This window comes from Homo sapiens, chromosome 1, assembly GCF_000001405.40.
Source record: "Homo sapiens chromosome 1, GRCh38.p14 Primary Assembly".
NCBI lineage: Eukaryota > Metazoa > Chordata > Mammalia > Primates > Hominidae > Homo > Homo sapiens.
In genome coordinates, this window is record NC_000001.11 from 51,333,497 (window position 1) to 51,350,644 (window position 17,148).

The 17,148-nt window shown below is 49.5% G+C and overlaps 1 protein-coding gene across 2 annotated transcripts in view, besides 4 other annotated features; it reads right to left on the reverse strand.

Moving 5' to 3' along the window:
* The window catches only part of TTC39A (tetratricopeptide repeat domain 39A), a 57,859-nt gene extending 46,239 nt beyond the window's left edge, over positions 1-11,620 (reverse strand). For both annotated transcript variants that reach the window (NM_001144832.2, XM_011541048.3), the window contains exon 1: positions 11,495-11,620. In NM_001144832.2, the coding sequence (NP_001138304.1) occupies positions 11,495-11,547 (53 nt within the window). In that variant the 5' untranslated portion in view covers positions 11,548-11,620. The remainder of the gene's footprint in view (positions 1-11,494) is intronic.
* Positions 8,449-8,498: an enhancer, noted in NCBI's record as "active region_1020". NCBI's record gives its function as "activates an Ori minimal core promoter by ATAC-STARR-seq in GM12878 lymphoblastoid cells {active_cell/tissue: GM12878}" and the evidence as "EXISTENCE:reporter gene assay evidence [ECO:0000049][PMID:35858748]".
* Positions 8,549-8,608: an enhancer, noted in NCBI's record as "active region_1021". NCBI's record gives its function as "activates an Ori minimal core promoter by ATAC-STARR-seq in GM12878 lymphoblastoid cells {active_cell/tissue: GM12878}" and the evidence as "EXISTENCE:reporter gene assay evidence [ECO:0000049][PMID:35858748]".
* Positions 8,969-9,048: an enhancer, noted in NCBI's record as "active region_1022". NCBI's record gives its function as "activates an Ori minimal core promoter by ATAC-STARR-seq in GM12878 lymphoblastoid cells {active_cell/tissue: GM12878}" and the evidence as "EXISTENCE:reporter gene assay evidence [ECO:0000049][PMID:35858748]".
* Positions 11,340-11,769: a silencer, noted in NCBI's record as "silent region_876". NCBI's record gives its function as "represses an Ori minimal core promoter by ATAC-STARR-seq in GM12878 lymphoblastoid cells {active_cell/tissue: GM12878}" and the evidence as "EXISTENCE:reporter gene assay evidence [ECO:0000049][PMID:35858748]".

The window sequence follows — 17,148 nt, forward strand, 5'->3', positions numbered from 1 at the left end:
TAGCTCCAGAGTAAACCTTTACTGTATTTGACCAACATTTGTTGACATTTTGCCATATGCCAAAACTCCTCCTAACCCTGCAGGTTTCAGTTCAGATGTCACCTCTTCCAGGAAGCCCTCCCTCCATAGATGGGTCAGGGGCTCCCTTTGCACCCACTGCCCTAACCCACTCTGACCTACCTTAATCACCCTGAGCTGTCACTGTCTGTGTGTGGTATGTGTGTTTGGGGTGGTGGGGAGCAGAGAGTGAGGTTTGTATGTGACTGTCTGCTTCTGGAGGCTAGGGCCTGGTCCAGTTCATCTCTGTGTCTCAGGGCCTGACATCAGGTACCTGACTAGTCACCAGACACTAATGCGGGGCCTAGCACTTTACAATTTCCCTCTGAGGTTATTATTATAACAATGGCTGACACACATCACAGGCTTTTTACATGCTACACATGATGTTCAGTGTATAACATGGATTATCTTATTTAATTTTCACTTTACCACCTCTCTGAGCCTCAGTTTCCTCATCAGTAAAATGGAAATAATATTGCCGACTTCCAAGGTTGCTCCGAGTATTAAGAATTCATATATAAGCTGAGCATGGTGGCTCACACCTGTAATCCCAGCACTTTAGGAGGCCAAAGCAGGTGGATTGCATGAGCCCAGGAGTTTGAGACCAGCCTGGGCAACATGGTGAGACCCTGTCTCTACAAAAAAAAAAAAAAAAAAAAAGGCCAGGCCAGTTGTGGTGGCTCATGCCTGTAATCCCAGCACTTTGGGAGGCTGAGGTGGGCGGATCACCTGAGGTCAGGAGTTCGAGACCAGCCTGACCAACACAGAGAAACCCTGTCTCCACTAAAAATACAAAATTAGCCAGGTGTGGTGGTGCATGCCTATAATTCCAGCTACATGGGAGGCTAAGGCAGAAGAATCGCTTGAACCCGGGAGGCGGAGGTTGCGGTGAACCAAGATCGCACTATTGCACGCCAGCCTGGGAAACAAGAGTGAAACTCCATCTAAAACAAAAAAAAGCCCGGCATGGGGTACGTAGTCCCAGCTACTCCAGAGTCTGAGGCAGGAGGATCAATGGAGCCCAGGAGGTTGAGGCTGCAGTGGGCCATGATGGTGCCACCGCACTCCAGCCTGGGTAACAGAGTGAGACCCTGTCTCAAAAAAAAAAAAAGAAAGAAAATAGCAGAGTGCTATATAAATGACCTAGTGATGGTTGTGGTGGACCACTAGACACTACTTTCCTCCCCATTTCACAGATGAAAAATGAGCTCAGTAAGGGAAGCAGAAGAGCCGCCTTTAGAGCTGGAACTCTCCCCACACCATCACAGCGAACAGTGATGCTAGAGCCAGTCACCTGGTGAGTCAGCGCATCAGAGTGGCCCACCCCTCAGGAGGGCCCCACCCAGGCCGTTCCTGGCCCCCAGGAGCTCTGGCCCAGCCCCAGCACAGGGGAGTCTGTGAGTCACCATCATCATTTCTGCCTCCCCAACTCAAGTGACCTTACTTGGATCACCTGTGTGTCCCCACCTTGAGGTGACAGCTGGGCCCTGGCGATGGGACAGCATCCTGAGTCCTGGATGCCTTCCTCCTGTCAGGAGACCTGTTTCCTGGTGCGTTACATCTGGGAGATGCCAGGCCTGCTTTCCTCCCTCATTTCCTCCCCAGCGTGCAAGAACAAATCACCAGTGTCACCACACCTCTCAATGGCCCTGAGAACTTCATGGACTGCTTTCACCTGTGCCATTGTCAACTTAAGAAGGCCCTTAATATGGCCGGGCGCGGTGGCTCATGCCTGTAATCCCAGCACTTTGGGAGGCTGAGGCGGGCAGATCACTTGAGATCAAGAGTTCAAGAACAGCCTGGCCAACGTGGTGAAACCCCACCTCTACTAAAAATACAAAAAAAAAAAAAAAAAATAGCTGGAGGTGATGGTGGACACCTGTAATCCCAGCTACTCAGGAGGCTGAGGCAGGAGAATCACTTGAACCCGGGAGGTGGAGCTTGCAGTGAGCCGAGATCACACCATTGCACTCCAGACTGGGCGACAGAGAGAAACTCTTGTCTCACAAAAAAAAAAAAAAAAAAGAGCCCTTAATAAATACCTATTAAGTGAGCCCTTAGAATGCCCTAGAAAGTTTGTAATAGCATTACCTCCCATCCTACAGATGAGAAAATAGAGGCTTGGACCAACATCTAGCCGTAGCTCGAACCCAGGTCTTGATTCCTTATTCTCTAGGGAAAGGGGGAAGAAGAGAAGAAAGGAGGGGTGTTTTAAGTGGGAGAGGTCATAGAAATGGGGGATGCAAGCAGTGACACATGATGCCATTGTTGTAGAAAGAGCTTAAGCTGTGAAGTCAGTTCTGCCTCTACCTCTCAGAACCTCAGTTTTCCCATCTATAAACCTGGGATAATAATCCCAAACTCTCAGGGATGCTGTGCAGATTACTGAGCATTATTTGGGTGACTCCTTCCCCCTTCTCAGCACCCCTCCCAGCCCCTTCCCCCAGGCCTTTCCCTGGCATGAAGCGCCCCCTCCCCAACACCTGCAGTCTCTGCCAGCCCAGATACCCCCTCTTCAGAGTCTAGAACCCTTCCTCTCTCACTGAACTGGTGACTGTAAAGCAGGTTTCCTTAAAGCGAGTGAGCCCCACCCTAACAGGTTACAGGTTTGGGCTCATTAATAATTCACAAGTGAACAGGCCTGTCAACAAAGGGCCTTTGGAGGGCTGTGACAGTGACAGATCTTAAATATTCTCTGGCAAGGGCCCCTAAGGAAGGATCTATTCCTGCTCCTTGGGCAGGCATGGACTCTGCCCCCCGCTAGCTCTGTGACCTTTGGCAAGTCACTGCCCCACTGTGGGGCAGTTTCCTCTTCCCACCAGATATAAAGGGGAGAGAAATTTGGGCCAAGAACTCATGGGCCCTCCCTGCTCTGAGGGTCTCTGTTCTAGGATCTGGGCTCTTCTACCTAAGTCTGGTCTCTAGGAGCTGCTGAAGGTAGGTCTAAAGAAGGAGCCTGGGTTAGCACAAGGGACCAAGAACAGCTCTAACTGAAAAAAGGGGTCAGAGCTCTAATGAGGGGTTTCCAGCATTGATGGCAACCTTTCAGGGGTCAGAACTTGGGATGCAAAGACAGGAAGATCTGGATGGACTCCTGGCCCCACTATGTCCTAGCTGGGCAGTCCCAAGCAATTCATCCGATTAGAGAATAGTTCAGAGAGCAGGTTTGAAAGCCAGGGCTTGCACCTGACACCCTGGGCCAGTAACTTCATTTCTGAAACGGGGATGATGATGGCACCAACCTCATTAGGTTGTTGCAAGGATTAAATGAGCTACATATCTTCAGGGCAGATGAGCTACCTGACACACTGCTGGTGACAATAGAAATTGGCTCCATCTGCCTGTAATCCCAGCACTTTGAGAGGCCAAGGCGGGAGAATTGCTTGAGGCCAGAAGTTGGAGACCAGCTTCAGCAACATAGTGAAACCCCCGTCTCTACAAAAAATAAAAACTTAGCTGGGCATGGTGGCACACAACCATAGTCTGCTACCGTCTATTATCCACACAGCACCAGGCCCATTTGACACTTAGGCCAGATCACATCACAACTCTGCTCAAAGCCCTGCAAAGGCTCCGCATGTTCCTCAGTGCAAAAACTAGTCTGTCTATGGCTCATGAGGCCCTGCACAACCTGTATGCTCCCATCATCTCCCGACATCATTTCCCTTTATTCCCTCTCTTATTTCAGCCACACCAGCCTCCTTGCTCACCTCCAAATATGCCAGGCACATTCCCACCTCAGGCCCTTTGGACTTGCTATTCCGTCTGCCTGGAATGCTCTTCTCACACGATTCACTACTTCACCTTCTTCGGGTCTCAGCTCAAATATCACCTTCTCCGTGAGGCCTTCCCTGACTATTCTGTTTAATTTTTTTTTTTTTTTTTTTTGAGATGGAGTCTCACTCTGTCACCCAGGCTGGAATGAGTGGCACAGTCTTCGGCCCACTGCAACCTCAGCCTCCCGGGTTCAAGTGGTTCTCCTGCCTCAGCCTCCCAAGTAGCTGAGACTACAGGTGCCCGCCACCATGCCCAGCTAATTTTTGTATTTTTAGTAGAGACTGGATTTCACCATGTTGGCCAGGCTGGTCTTGAACTCCTGACCTCAGATGATCTGCCCGCCTCAGCCTCCCAAAGTGCTGAGATTACAGGCGTGAGCCACCGTGCCCAGCCCCTTTCTATTTAAAATTGAACCCCTGCCTCCATCCTCCCAGTTCTTCTGCCCTGCATTATTTTTCCACAGCGCTTGTTGTCAAGTGACATCTTTTTATTTTGCTTATTCATTTATTCTCCCTCTCCCTATTAAACTAAGTTCCACAGGTAGGGCTTTTGTTTGTTTTGAGTGGGGTCTCACTATATCGCCCAGGCTGGTCTTGAACTCCTGGGCTCAAGTGATCCTCCTGAGTAGCTGAGACTCTAGGGACATGTGGCTGTGCCCAGCTTCAGGAATTTGTTTTTGCATTATTGTTTTGTTCTCTAATGTGCCTAGAACAGTGCCTGGCTCAATAAAAAGCCTTGCTGCCTAAACGAATTTACTTGAATATGGAAAAATATGAAAAAAGCAGAACACAAAATTATCCACCGAATATTAAAAAGAAAACCCTGACATCTATGCATTTTAGGAAGCATGAAGAGATACTGAAGCCATTTCTGGGGGAGGCAGTACAATATACTGCTGGGAATAGGATATTTGACTCTGAATTTTGGCTTCTTCACTATAATCCAGGGCAACACTCTTCACCTCTTTGCGCCTAAGTTTCCTCCTCTATTAAAGTGGAGAAAGCAAGGCTTCCCTGGTCAGAGTTGTGTGGATTACAGATGATGCTGCATGTCACATGCTGGCTGTTGGGGCACAGTCAAAGGCAGGTATCTTGCATTACAGATCACAGAGAAAGGGAAAGAGAACATTCTAGAGGCAGCAGGCAAGTTCAGAAGGTGTTCAGGGGAGAGGAGCTGGGGCTTGGAGGGAGCAGTGGCAAGCAAAGGAGGAGAGAAGGGGAGAAGGGTGACCACCCGAGTGCAGCGCTGTCGAGTGGAGATTTATCTTTTTTTTTTTTTTTTTTTTTTTGAGACAGAGTCTTACTCTGTTGTCCAAGCTGAGCGTAGTGGTACGATCTTGGCTCACTGCAACCTCCACCTCCCAGTTTCAAGTGATTCTCCCGCCTCAGCCTCCCAAGTAGCTGGGATTACAGGCACGCACCACCAAGCCCGGCTAATTTTTGTATTTTTAGTAGAGACAAGGTTTCACCATGTTGTCCAGGCTGGTCTTGAACTCCTGACCTCAAGTGATCCACCCGCCTTGGCCTCCCAAACTGCTGGGATTACAGGTGTGAGCCACTACACCCAGCCTGATTTATCCTCCTTTGAGTGGCCTGTCCTGTGCTCAGGGTCAGCCCTTTGGTACACCTTTCAATCACCCAGATGTAAAGCAATTGCCCACATACTCATTTACTTGGCAGTTTCTTTCAACCTGAGATTTAGCTACTGTATGTATCTGAGGAAGGACGTATCTTAGCTTGAAATGAATTGAGCGGCTGCAGTGCTTCTTCTTGCAGGGTGTGGGGGCTGGTCAGAGCAGACCCTGTAAGAGGGAAGCTAAGGAGTAACACCTGAGGCTGCAGGAGGCAAAACAAATTTCACTCCCATGGGAAGAAAAGGAGCCAAAAGGAACGGGGTGTCTTAGCCCAGTTCCACGTGGATGGGGTCTCTGATGTCCCACCTAGTCCTAATATAATTGTCCTTTTGGCAGGGTGTCATGGGGCAAAGGACCAGCCATTTATAGGGCAGGGGAAGGATTTTACTTGAAAGTGGTAGATTTCCGCACTGCTGATCACCTGGGAAAGACTGATTTATTATTTTATAGCCGATCTTAGCATAAGAAAGGAAGCCTTGGGAATCTTGGGCTAAGAGAAAAATTCCTCTTTTTTCCTGGGAAAGAAGATGTTGGAAGACACATTGGGCCCTCCCAGAAGTGGATGTTCTACAGGAAGGCTCCTTCCAGGATGGCTGAGGGGAGAGGGCCATAACATCATAAAATCATCTGTCCCTCACTCCCTTCTTCCTAAGGTGTTTTTAAAAGTTATAGCCTGGCCAGGCATGGTGGCTCATGCCTATAATCCCAGCACTTTGGGAGGCTGAGGTGGGAGGATCACTTGAGGCCAGGAGTTCAAGACCAGACTGGGCAACATGGTGAAACCCCATCTCTACCAAAATAAATTAATAAATAAATAGAGATGTTATAGCCTGGCCTCAGCCGAGCTGCTGGGGAATTAAGGGAAGGGGCTGTCCCACCCATGGCATGGGGTGATTGCTATAGAGTGACAGTTTGCATCCCCCAACATTCATATGTGGAAATCCTTATGTCTAAGGTGATGGTATTAGGAGGTGGGCCCTTTGGGAGGTGATTAGGCCATGGGTGCAGAGCGGGATTGGTGCCCTTATAAAAGAAGTTCAAGAGAGACTCCTCGCCCCTTCCTCCATGTGAAGACACAGCAAGAAGGCACCATCTATAAGCCAGAAAGCAGGTCCTCATCAGATACTCAATCTGCCTTGATCTTGGACTTCCCATCCTCCCGAACTGTGAGAAATACATTTCTGTTGTTTATAAGCTACCCAGTTTATGCTATTTCATTATAGCAACCTGAATGGGAATGAATTAAGAAAGGTGATCTAGCAAAGTGCCTCAGCGACCATTCCCCCACCAGGCCAGGGTGGTGGTGGCAGTCAGGGAGAGAAGGGCTGTGTTTGGCAAGGCCACAACTCAGGAGAGTGGTGGGTGGCACAGGCCCCGAGAGGGTCCATGAGGGACCTTTCAGTTTTCAGATCTCAGAGCATGAAAAACAGCAGGGGGACTCAGAGGAATGGGCAGGGTGCTCCAAATATATCGTAATTTGGGTATGTCATGAAACTACAGCTTTAAGGCCTGCTCAGTGGTCACATTTGCTAAATGCTGCCCTCCTCCCTCATCACCGCCCCCTTTCTCCTCCCCTCCTCTCCAGCCCATTGGCTGAGTGAGGAGCCTCTTCTTACTTGACCCCACCTCTCAGGGAACAGTGATTGGTTGAAGGAAGCACCAGTCAGAGTAGTCTCCTGAGCTTTTTCAGACTAAAGCTGGTGAAGCCCTTCCTCTTATAATCATCACTCGCGCTGGTATAGCAGCATGCCGTGCAGTGCTTTACATAAACTAACTCATCCGATCCTCACAACAATCCTGGGAGGTGAGTCCTAACATTACCCCCATTTTACAGATGAGGAAACTGAGGCACGAGAAGCTAAACAGCCTGTCCAAAGTCATACTGCTAGAAAGTCTCAGAATCAGGCTTCAAAACCAGCCTAAGGCCGGGTGCGGTAGCTCTTGCCTATAATCCCAACACTTTGGGAGGCCGAGGCTGATGGATCACTTGAGGTCAGGAGTTTGAGACCAGCCTGGCCAACATGGTGAAACCCCCTCTCTACTAAAAATACAAAATTAGCTGGGCGTGGTGGCGCATGACTATAATCCCAGCTACTCGGGAGGCTGAGGCAGGAGAACCTGGAAGGTGGAGGTTGCAGTGAGCCGAGATCGCACCATTGCATTCCAGCCTGGGCGACAAGAGTGAAACTCTGTCTCACAAAAAATAAACCGCCCCCCCACCCCCCGCCCACACACACACCAAAAAAACAAAACCAGCTTATGTGGCCCCAGAGTACTTCTCACTGCTTTGATTTACCATCCCAGGACTTGAGCTTGGAAGCTGCTGACAGCCATGCCTTGTACTGAGTGGAGAAGCAGGTGAGCATTAGGAGAGAATGGAGCTGGCCACAGACAGAAACTGCTTTGAGAGGCAGAAATTTTCAGGAAAGGACAAAGCAACTCAACCTCAGATCACAGATTTGAAGATGTTACAGGAAATGTGGTGTGCTGGCAGAACTGAAGTTGCAACCCAAATCTATTTCTCAATGACCCCCAAAAGGACCTAAATGTTCCAAGTTTGAACCCCTCCATAACTGATAGTGGGACAAAGGTTGCTTGAATGTCTTTCAAGTTCTTGTCACCAGGGATTGAGGATCTGAGGGACCACAATGTGCCTCTCACACTAGAGCCCTCTCCTACCCCTTACAATCACCCTCAGCAACAGGGGGCAGAGTAAAGTCCTGGGATTAAAAGCTTCAACACACACACACACAAAAAAAACCTTGAAATTTTAAATCACAAGTCTGGGAATCACAAATGCTTCAACTTGCAGGATCTGAGAATCACAGAGGTCAAAACTCAGCACTGGCCTCAAGTCCAAATTCATTCCCAAGGAAGAGACCTCAAAGCCACCCAAGGATTCCTGCCACCAAATTAGAAACTCCCAACCTAGAAGCATCTGAGAGCTCCTCCAGCTCAGGCTGAAACCAAGAGCAGGAATTCTGACTACAGCAGTCCTAGCAGGCCTCCAGCCTCCTTGGCTGGGCCTCTCCATTCTTGAGGAGGCCCCTCCCTCCCACAGCAGATCTGCCACTCAATTACTCTCTCTAAAGCAATCTGCCCATCTGCACATCCCCTTTTATTTTTGGTGCTGTCTCCTACCACAAGTGGGGGCTATGGTATGGCTAAGAAGGGCCTGATTTGTAGGCTGAGTAGGGTGCGGTCCCCATTGTAAGATGCATGGGCGTTAGGAACAGTCCCCTTTCCTTTTCCCAGCAGTTCCCAGCTACCCAATCCTGGTGCCTGGAATCCCACCATTGACTCTGAAGCCTTTCAGAATCCCCTCTGCTCAATGCAAATACCCTGGAAGGAAGATTACCTCATAACAGTACCGAGAAAGAAGTGAACACCGAATATGCCCCAGTGACTGTTAGGTCCTTTACAAATGACTTCAATAGATCTTTCCACAGCTCAGAGAGTAGCTATTATTTTACAGCTGAGGAAACTGAGGCTCACACAGATCAAACAATGAATCAATGTCAAAGAGCCAGTAAGTAAGCGGCAGAGCAGGGGTTGAGCACCCCTCCACATCCCCATCCCCCCTGCCAAACTCTTTGCCCTTGGCTATGCTGTGGGACACAGGGTGGTGTGGTGGGCGAGGGGTGAGGGTGGAGCGGTCACAGGGCCTGAGCTGGGAGAATGGAGACCCAGGTTTGAGCCTTGGGTGTGAGACCTTGTGTGGTCAACTGGGAGTAAAGAATTCTCTGGGTATTTGTGCCCAGCAAGTTCCAGCTGAAGCACAAAGGCGCATGTGTGCAGGCTCACAATGCACTTCCTCACACAGGCCCACTGGGGGATGCAGAGGCCTCTGCTTGACCAGAGGCCACCCCTACACCTTCTCCTCAGCCTGTCCATTCACTGCTTCTCATTTCTTCCTTCTTAGCGTCTACCTCCCATTCCCTCCATTCTCCTAACCCATACCCCAGCATCTCTCTCCTGGACCACCACGCCAGCCTCCCCTCTGCTCTCCCTGCACACTGAGAGGTGTGTAACATACATACACGGGAGACCCCGAAGGCTCCCTGGTGCCCACAGGACGATGCACAACTGGATTCTCCCAGGCAGGGAAGGTCCTGGAAGGCAAGAAAGCCATGTGGCCAAGTGATCTCGTGCTCCTCAGAAATCATCCCATGTCCTCATCAAAACTGAAATGCACTCTGAGCCCCATTATGTGCTGTGCTCTGGGAACATGGGGACAAATGAGCCCTGTCTCCTTTCCATAAGTAGTGGAGAAACAGAAAAGGAGGAGGTGACAGTGATCCAGCATTGAAATCGTCTGTCCACAAAAATCCTTTCTCCGTAGGACAGCGTGGTCAGCTTTAAATAAGTAAATGCCCTGCTAAAGCCCTCCAGTGGCTTCCCACCACACAGTGAAACCTAAATTCCTGGTCCTGTTTGTTCTGGCCAGCCTGCTTCCTGGGTCTCAGTGATCTTCCATCACTCTCCCTCCTTTCTTCTCAGACACAGCTCAGGGTTTGATGTGAGCTATCCTGCCTGCAATGCTTCAGCACTGCCAATTTTACTGGGCATAACATTGCCTTATTGTATGCCTCGCCCAGCATCTATTTCTGATGTTTACTTGTCTACTTGTTTATGTCTCTCTTACTAGAACCTGGTTGCCAAGAGCAGGACCTGTATATCTGAAGTAACACCATACCTGCAGTGCCTAGTACAGTGCTGGCCCAGCACACAAGTGCTCAACAATGTGTGCTGAAAGGCTGAATGAGAGTCACCAAAGGGTGGTGGAGAGCCATGGAAGGGTTTTATTTTCTTTAATGTTTTTTCCTTTATTTATATAGAGATAGGGTCTTGCTATGTGGCCCAGGCTGCTCTCAAACTCCTGGGCTCAAGCGATCCTCCCGCTGGGATTACAGGCATGAGCCACCACGCCTAGCCTATGGAAGGGTGTTAAAGCAGAAAATGGCTTGGTCTGGTTTGTGCTTTAGAAAGGATGTGTGGAAAGGGAGAGACAGGAGGAGCTGGGGAAGGGGGCCTGATGCAATAGTCCAATGAGAATAAACAGCTTTGAGAGAAGTTGGGAGGTAAAATCAACAGGACTTGTAGACGGGGGTGGGAGAAAGGTAGGGAGGTGTCAGGGATGACTCCCAGGTTTCGGGCTTGGGCAACTGGGTGGATGACCATTCACTGACACGGGGACACCGGAGGAGGAACAAGTTTGGGGCTTGCCAAGTTTGAGGTGTTCATAGGACAGTCAGATGGAGGTGTTGGGAGGACAGTTGGATTGCCCTTTCCCTGGCACAGCAGGGTGAACTTTAAAGATGTAAATATGAAGGGAAGGGCTGAACCTCAGAAGATGTAAATATGCGGGGAGGGCTGAACCTCAGAAGAGAGGTCAGGGCTGTGGTCCCCTCTCACAGGAACACAACTGGGGCGCACTAACTTATCCCGGAGGTAGGGTCAGCTAGGGAGGTGGCTGACACACCCTGGAGGGCTCGCCTTGGAGGAGCTGGGGTGCACATAATTCACCCTGGACTGGGACTGGAACCCAGGACTTCCCCCACCTGCTCCTCGGATGTGGACAACCCCTCAAGCACACAGAGCCCTGGCTTCATCTGTCCGGGCACACAGCGTGCCCACACTTGGCTCATGCAGACCTGAGGAGAACCAGGTGAGAGGATGGAGGGTTGAGCGCAGACGCCGCTGCCCAAACCTGACCGCCAGCCCCACCTGAGGTCCTTCTCACCGAGCTGACTTCGCAGATAGCCCGCGTCTTGCGACACTGAGCGGCGCTCAGGTGGGACCGCGTCTACCCTCCCCAGTTCCCGCCCTGCTGGGGGCGAGGACAGAGAGCAGGGGGCGCGCGGCGCTGCCCCTCTCGGGCCTCCGGCCGACCCCCACGCCCAGCAGCCACACACCCTTTCCCCAGCTGTGCCTCTCAGCTGTTTCCCCGACGTCGGCTGGGTCCTCCGGCGGCCCCTTGGTCCCGTCCGCGCCTTCCGCCGAGTCCCCACCCCTGCCCGGTACCTGCGGTCGCTTTTCCCGGAGGCCGCCTCCTTCCAGGTGGTCAGAAAGGCCATGGGCGCGGGCCGGGCTCGGACGGGGCCGCGGGCGGCCCCTCGCGGCGGCGGCGGCGGCCGTGGAGGCTACAGTGGCAGCACCTGGACGGGGCGGGCAGGGCGGGACCCGTGGCTCCTCCCCGCCCTGGACCTGCGCCTCCCTGCCCCAAAGTGGAAGGGCTTAAGTGTCCCTAGAGCGGGCCTGAGGTCCCTGGGCAAGCCCACTCCCACCCAGAACCAGAAAGGACCCCAAACACTCTGAAACCCCTCATTGGGCACCGGGAGAAACGGAGCTCCAGGCTTTGTCCAAGGTCACAAGGGGGCCAGCGGCCGGTCCCACTCGGTCCAGAGCCCAGCCTCCAAACTGACGGGCCACACGATGGCCTTACCAGGGTCCCTGCGGGACATAGCAGCACCACCAACCCTGTTCCCTCCTCCCTACATACAGAGCCAGCTTTGCTAGGGCCTCGCCGGAATGGGGTCAGAAGCTCGGGACCGAGTCAAATGCTGGGCACAGAGCACCAGCAGCAGGGGGCTGATGGGCAGGGAAGTGGAGAGCAGCTGTCTGGGCCTGAGGGTGGAGGCTGCAGGCCAGGCCAGGCCCTGGAGTGACCCACTTCACCGACTTATGAGTCCAGTACCCCGTGGCAGGTCGGGGGACAGAGGAGAATGAGCCACCGCCCCATCTCCAGTGTAAACTTTCTTTGAAGCCCCACATTTCATCTTAGGCTGCGTACATTTTTGGTTTTTATTTTAAATTACCACCACCAAGCAGAATCAGCTCTGGAGCAAGGGGATCCCCTGGCGTGCAGTCCAGGGGCTTTTATGGGAGGCCCAACTAAGGACAAGGAGCAGGGGAGCACCGTGAGGAGGCATTTGAGAAGGCCTGCTCCAGCTCCAGTGTGAAGAATGGATTCAGGGACCCCTGGAGATTTAGCTCATCAGAGAAGGTGGGGGTTGAACACAGGGCAGGGGCAGGGTGGCTAAGGCCCATTTTTGTTTCCTTTTGGGCTGGGTCTGTATCCTAGGTACTTGTGCAATACAAATTTCGTGTCCAATAAGTGGTGACTGGTTTTCACATGTCAGGTGTTCTCTCATGTGTCAAGCCCTGAGCCAGGCAGTTTACACCAATTCTTATTTATCTGCATCTTGTTACATACTCACTCATCCCCATTTTACAGTTGATGAAACAGGTTCAGAGGGGTGAACGACCTTTCCTGAAACCAAGTTGTGAAGTCAGGTCTTACACCCAGGCTTCTCTGCCCAATCTGGTGCTTTCCTCCCACCCTGCCTATGGACCATGGGTGGGCTGAGCACGGAGTGGGAGGCCCTGGGCAAAGCTGCCCAGAGGGCAGAGGCTCTAAGGACCATCTGGGCAATTTCTCTCACTCTTCCCTGGTAGGCAGCAGAGAACATATGACCTTTCACTCATATCATGGTCTTTGCAGATCAACAAGGGCCGGGGAATACTGCTTATCTGATCACAAAGCTAGAGCTTCTAAATCTGGAAAATCCAGTTACAGTATGCCCAGGGACCCAAACCCCTTAGTCCAGAGCCTTGTCCAGCTTGGCCAGCACTGAGCACTTAGCCAACTTTCTCCTGGGTTCGCAGGCAAGAAGAGCCACAGGACCTCAGAAGCCTGACCTTCTATGGGCCCAGAGCCCAGTTTACTAAGAGGATTAATCTCACCGAGCCTGTCAGCCCACAGCCAGCACCACTTCCTCCAGGAAGCCATCCAGGATCTCCCCATCAGAGCGGTCTCTCCGTTTTCAGAGGATACATTTTGTCTCTCTCACAGCATTTAGCATTACATATTTTAAAATCCTTGTATAAGTTATTTACAATGGTATTTCAGATTTCTCTCTGAAGGTACAGATAGTATCTCATGTGTCTTCTACAGAGCTCAGCACTATTGCTATACATAGTAGGTACTCAATGGTGAGTAAATAAAGAAGGAGCTAATACCTATCAAGCTTCTACCCAATGGCAGGCACTATGCAGAGAGCCTTTACGTATCTACCTCTAATCTAGACAACTGTTTTAAGAATATTTGGGTCAGAAGTTTAGAAATGTTCCTAAGATCAAATCAGGAGCTGGGATTCAATCCCGGGGTTCTTAAACTTCAAGGCTTGTTTCTTATTCTTCTTCCTCATCTGTTTAGAATTATGTTACTTGGGCACTATTTTAAACTCTTCACATGTGCCAACTCATTTAGTCCTCAAAATAATCCTAACATGTATGTTCTTTTACAATCCCAATTTTATAGTTGAAAAAGTGAGGCAGGTAGGAATTAATTTGCTCAAGATCACACAAACTAGTTAAGTGGCAGAGCTAGGACTCAACACACACAGCCCGACTTGAGAATGTATATCTTAACCCTAGCCCTAGTTTTCCTGCCACGCAAGCTATTAGATGCACAAAGCATTTACAAGCCACTTTTTCAAGCTTATTTTGAATCATGTAATAAACCCAAGGTAGAATCAGTTTTATTCTTCCCATCCTCCCTTCCACTGGAGCCACACTGCTTAGGTTAAAATCTTGGCCCCACCACTAGGTATCTGCACAACCAGGCAAGTTACTCAACCTCTTTGTGTCATTTTCTTATCAGTAAAATGAGGATAACAGCACCTATTACAAGGGTTGTTGTAAGGATTTAATGCAAGCAAAACAGAACAGTGCTGGACACATAGTGTGTGTTACCTGCACCTCGTATAGTGATAGTTTTATCCAGAATCAGAGGGCAATGAAGTGTTCTATATAAATGAACTTTCAAGACAACTGAAGTTTATCCCCTTTATTCAGATTCACATTTTTCGAAAATGTATTGTTACCTCTTCTGTCTTTTTAAACATGGGCATGGCAGCTTTTAGTGTGTATCTGCCATGTAACAGAAACCATGACTTTGTATCCATCATCTTTTTTTTTCAGAGTGTCTCGCTCTGTTGCCCAGTCTGGAGTGCAGTGGTGTGATCACAGCTCACTGCAGCCTCGAACTCCTGGCTTCAAGTGATCCTCCCACCCCAGTCTCCTGAGGAGCTAGGACTTCAGGTGCATGCCACCATGCCTGGCTAATTTTTAATTTTTTTTTTTTTTGGTAGAGACAAAGTGTTGCTATGTTGTCGAGACTGGTCTGGAACTCCTGGAATCAAGCAATCCTCCTGCCTGGGCCTCCCAAAATTCTGGGATTACAGGCATGAGCCACCACACCCAACCTGTATCTATCATTTTTAATCCTGGCAACAACCCTGCAAGGGAACTGTTATCCCTGAGGACCAGAGAGGTTAACAGATTTACCCAAAAACACACAGCTAGGAAATGGTAAGACCAGAAGTTAGGCCCATGTTTATAAAACTCCAAGGTCTGGATTCCCTCTACAAGGCCAGGAACCTGCTCAGGAAGCTGAGATGCATCAGGGTTTTCTTTTGCTTGTGTATGGTTAAGGCAGCATGCTACAAGGGAGCAAGGGTGGAGGGCTCCTAACCTGCTTCTATGTATTCTAGGTCCAGAGTTTTGATTCAATTAAGTACAGCCTCTACCCCATCCAGGTCTCTATATGTCACAGTGCCTAGAAGGATCTTCAACTCATGTAGAGGCCCACAATCTGGAGGAGAACAAATCAGGGTTGTCTCAGTCCTGAAAAGTCCAATCATCATTAAAAGGCCCATAGGCTGAGCAAGTAGTTCAGTTCAGTCTCTCCTGTGTGTCTTATAGAGCCTTGGAGGGGTGTGGGGTCTCCACTGTGCTCGATGAGGGCCTAGGTTGCTGAGTCTTGCACACCTGCTCTTAAGGGCAGTCCTTAGAGCATAAGTAGCCGTAGAGAGCAAAAGGCAGTCTAGTGTGGTAGAAGAGTAAGTCTCACAGCTGAGGCACCTGGGCTGGAACCTGGCTTGTCCAGCTGTGAACCTTTCCTAGGTTGGGGTTTCTTGGCCAAATCGCTTCCATCTCTCTATACCTCATATTTTCTATTTAAGAGTCATGAAGAATAAATTATACATATATTAAGGACCTTAGTGCCAGGCTCAGAGAAGGTCCCCAGTAAGTGTCAGCTTTTTCCCATTTATTTTCCTTCCCACAAACTAACTCAATCCTTTCAAGTTCTGACTCCAGAGGAAACAGAAAGGAGAGGCTGTAACTAAGCCCTTAGGTCTCAGGCAGCTGCACACATTCTATACACTTAGTGCAGTGGGGAAGGAAAAATGGGTGGGGTCTTTCTGTAGATTCCCCCCCTCCCATGAGATAATCTTTTATATCATTCACCTGGATACATAACATTAGGACTTACATTCCTCTGGAGAGATTTTAAAAAATAAATGGCTTTCAAACATTTTATTTTGTGACCCAGTACATATTCAATAATGAATTCTATTTAATGATTTTAAAAATGATGCTCATTAACATACTGAAAAATTTACATATAATGGATCAAAGCAAAGATATGCAAAGTCACCCCAAAGAGGCATTATAGTTACCCGACCAGCCAAACCAGACTCTAACCTGATTAAAGATATTAATCTGAAAAACGTGTCCATGAGAGGGGCCCAGGCATCCCTGGCTGCAAAGATCAAGCGGCGCCTCAGAGAGAGGAGGTATCCAACCACCAGCAAGGGAGGAGTCATGTTCAACCAATTGTGGGCACTCCAAGCCCTGTGACAACTTTATTTTTACTGGAAAGTGACATTCTGGTCTATCAGTCCCTGTGAAATTTCTTAATAGAGATCTGTCTCTGTTTTATTGATGAAAATCAGGTTTCTAAACTTGAAGGTCAGATGTTGGACCAGGCTTAATTCACTCAAGTAATGAATGCTACTTAAATGAGGCCTCCTAGGAGACTGCTGGCCTTTTCCAGTGAACACAGCCCTAACATCAAATGATGCGGCCTTGTGAGAGCTGTGTTTTTAACAAAAAATTCCAACTGTCACCATGTGTGTTTTTTAGTAATGCTAGTAAGGAACAGAATACTATCTTCTGGGGACACCTCCTCTGGGAAGACTTCCCCAATCCTCTCAGCTAGAACTATTCTCTCCCTGCTCTGGGCATCCCAGCACTCCTACAGTATCCTCAGTACGCAATGCTGTGAAATTATGTAAGTAGATGCCTATCTTTCCTACTATACCACTAATGGCAAGGCCCTCATATGAGTCTTCTCTGTCCCTGGCCCACGCAACAGTTCTTAGCAAAGGTCAATAGAATAATGACTTTTTCACTGTGCATTTTCAAAACTAAGACAATAGAGACCTTTCTGGAAGTAAAAGGTACATCATAGATCCATGCATACAAGAAAAAAAGTATCTTAATGTATTTTTTTTTTCCAGCAGAACAGAGTAATTGAACACGGATTTTCAAGTCAGAATGCCTGGGTTTTTTGGGGTTTTTGAGACGGAGTTTCGCTCTTTTGCCCAGGCTGGAGTGAAGTGGCGTGATCTCGGCTCACTGCAACCTCCACCCCACCCACCCCCCACACCTGGTTCAAGCGATTCTCCTGCCTCAGCCTCCCAAGTAGCTGGGATTACAGGCGCTCGCCACCATGCCCAGTTAATTTTTTTTGTATTTTTAGTAGAGACGGAGTTTCGCCACATTGGCTAGGCTGGTCTGGAACTCCTGACCTCAGGTGATCCACCCGC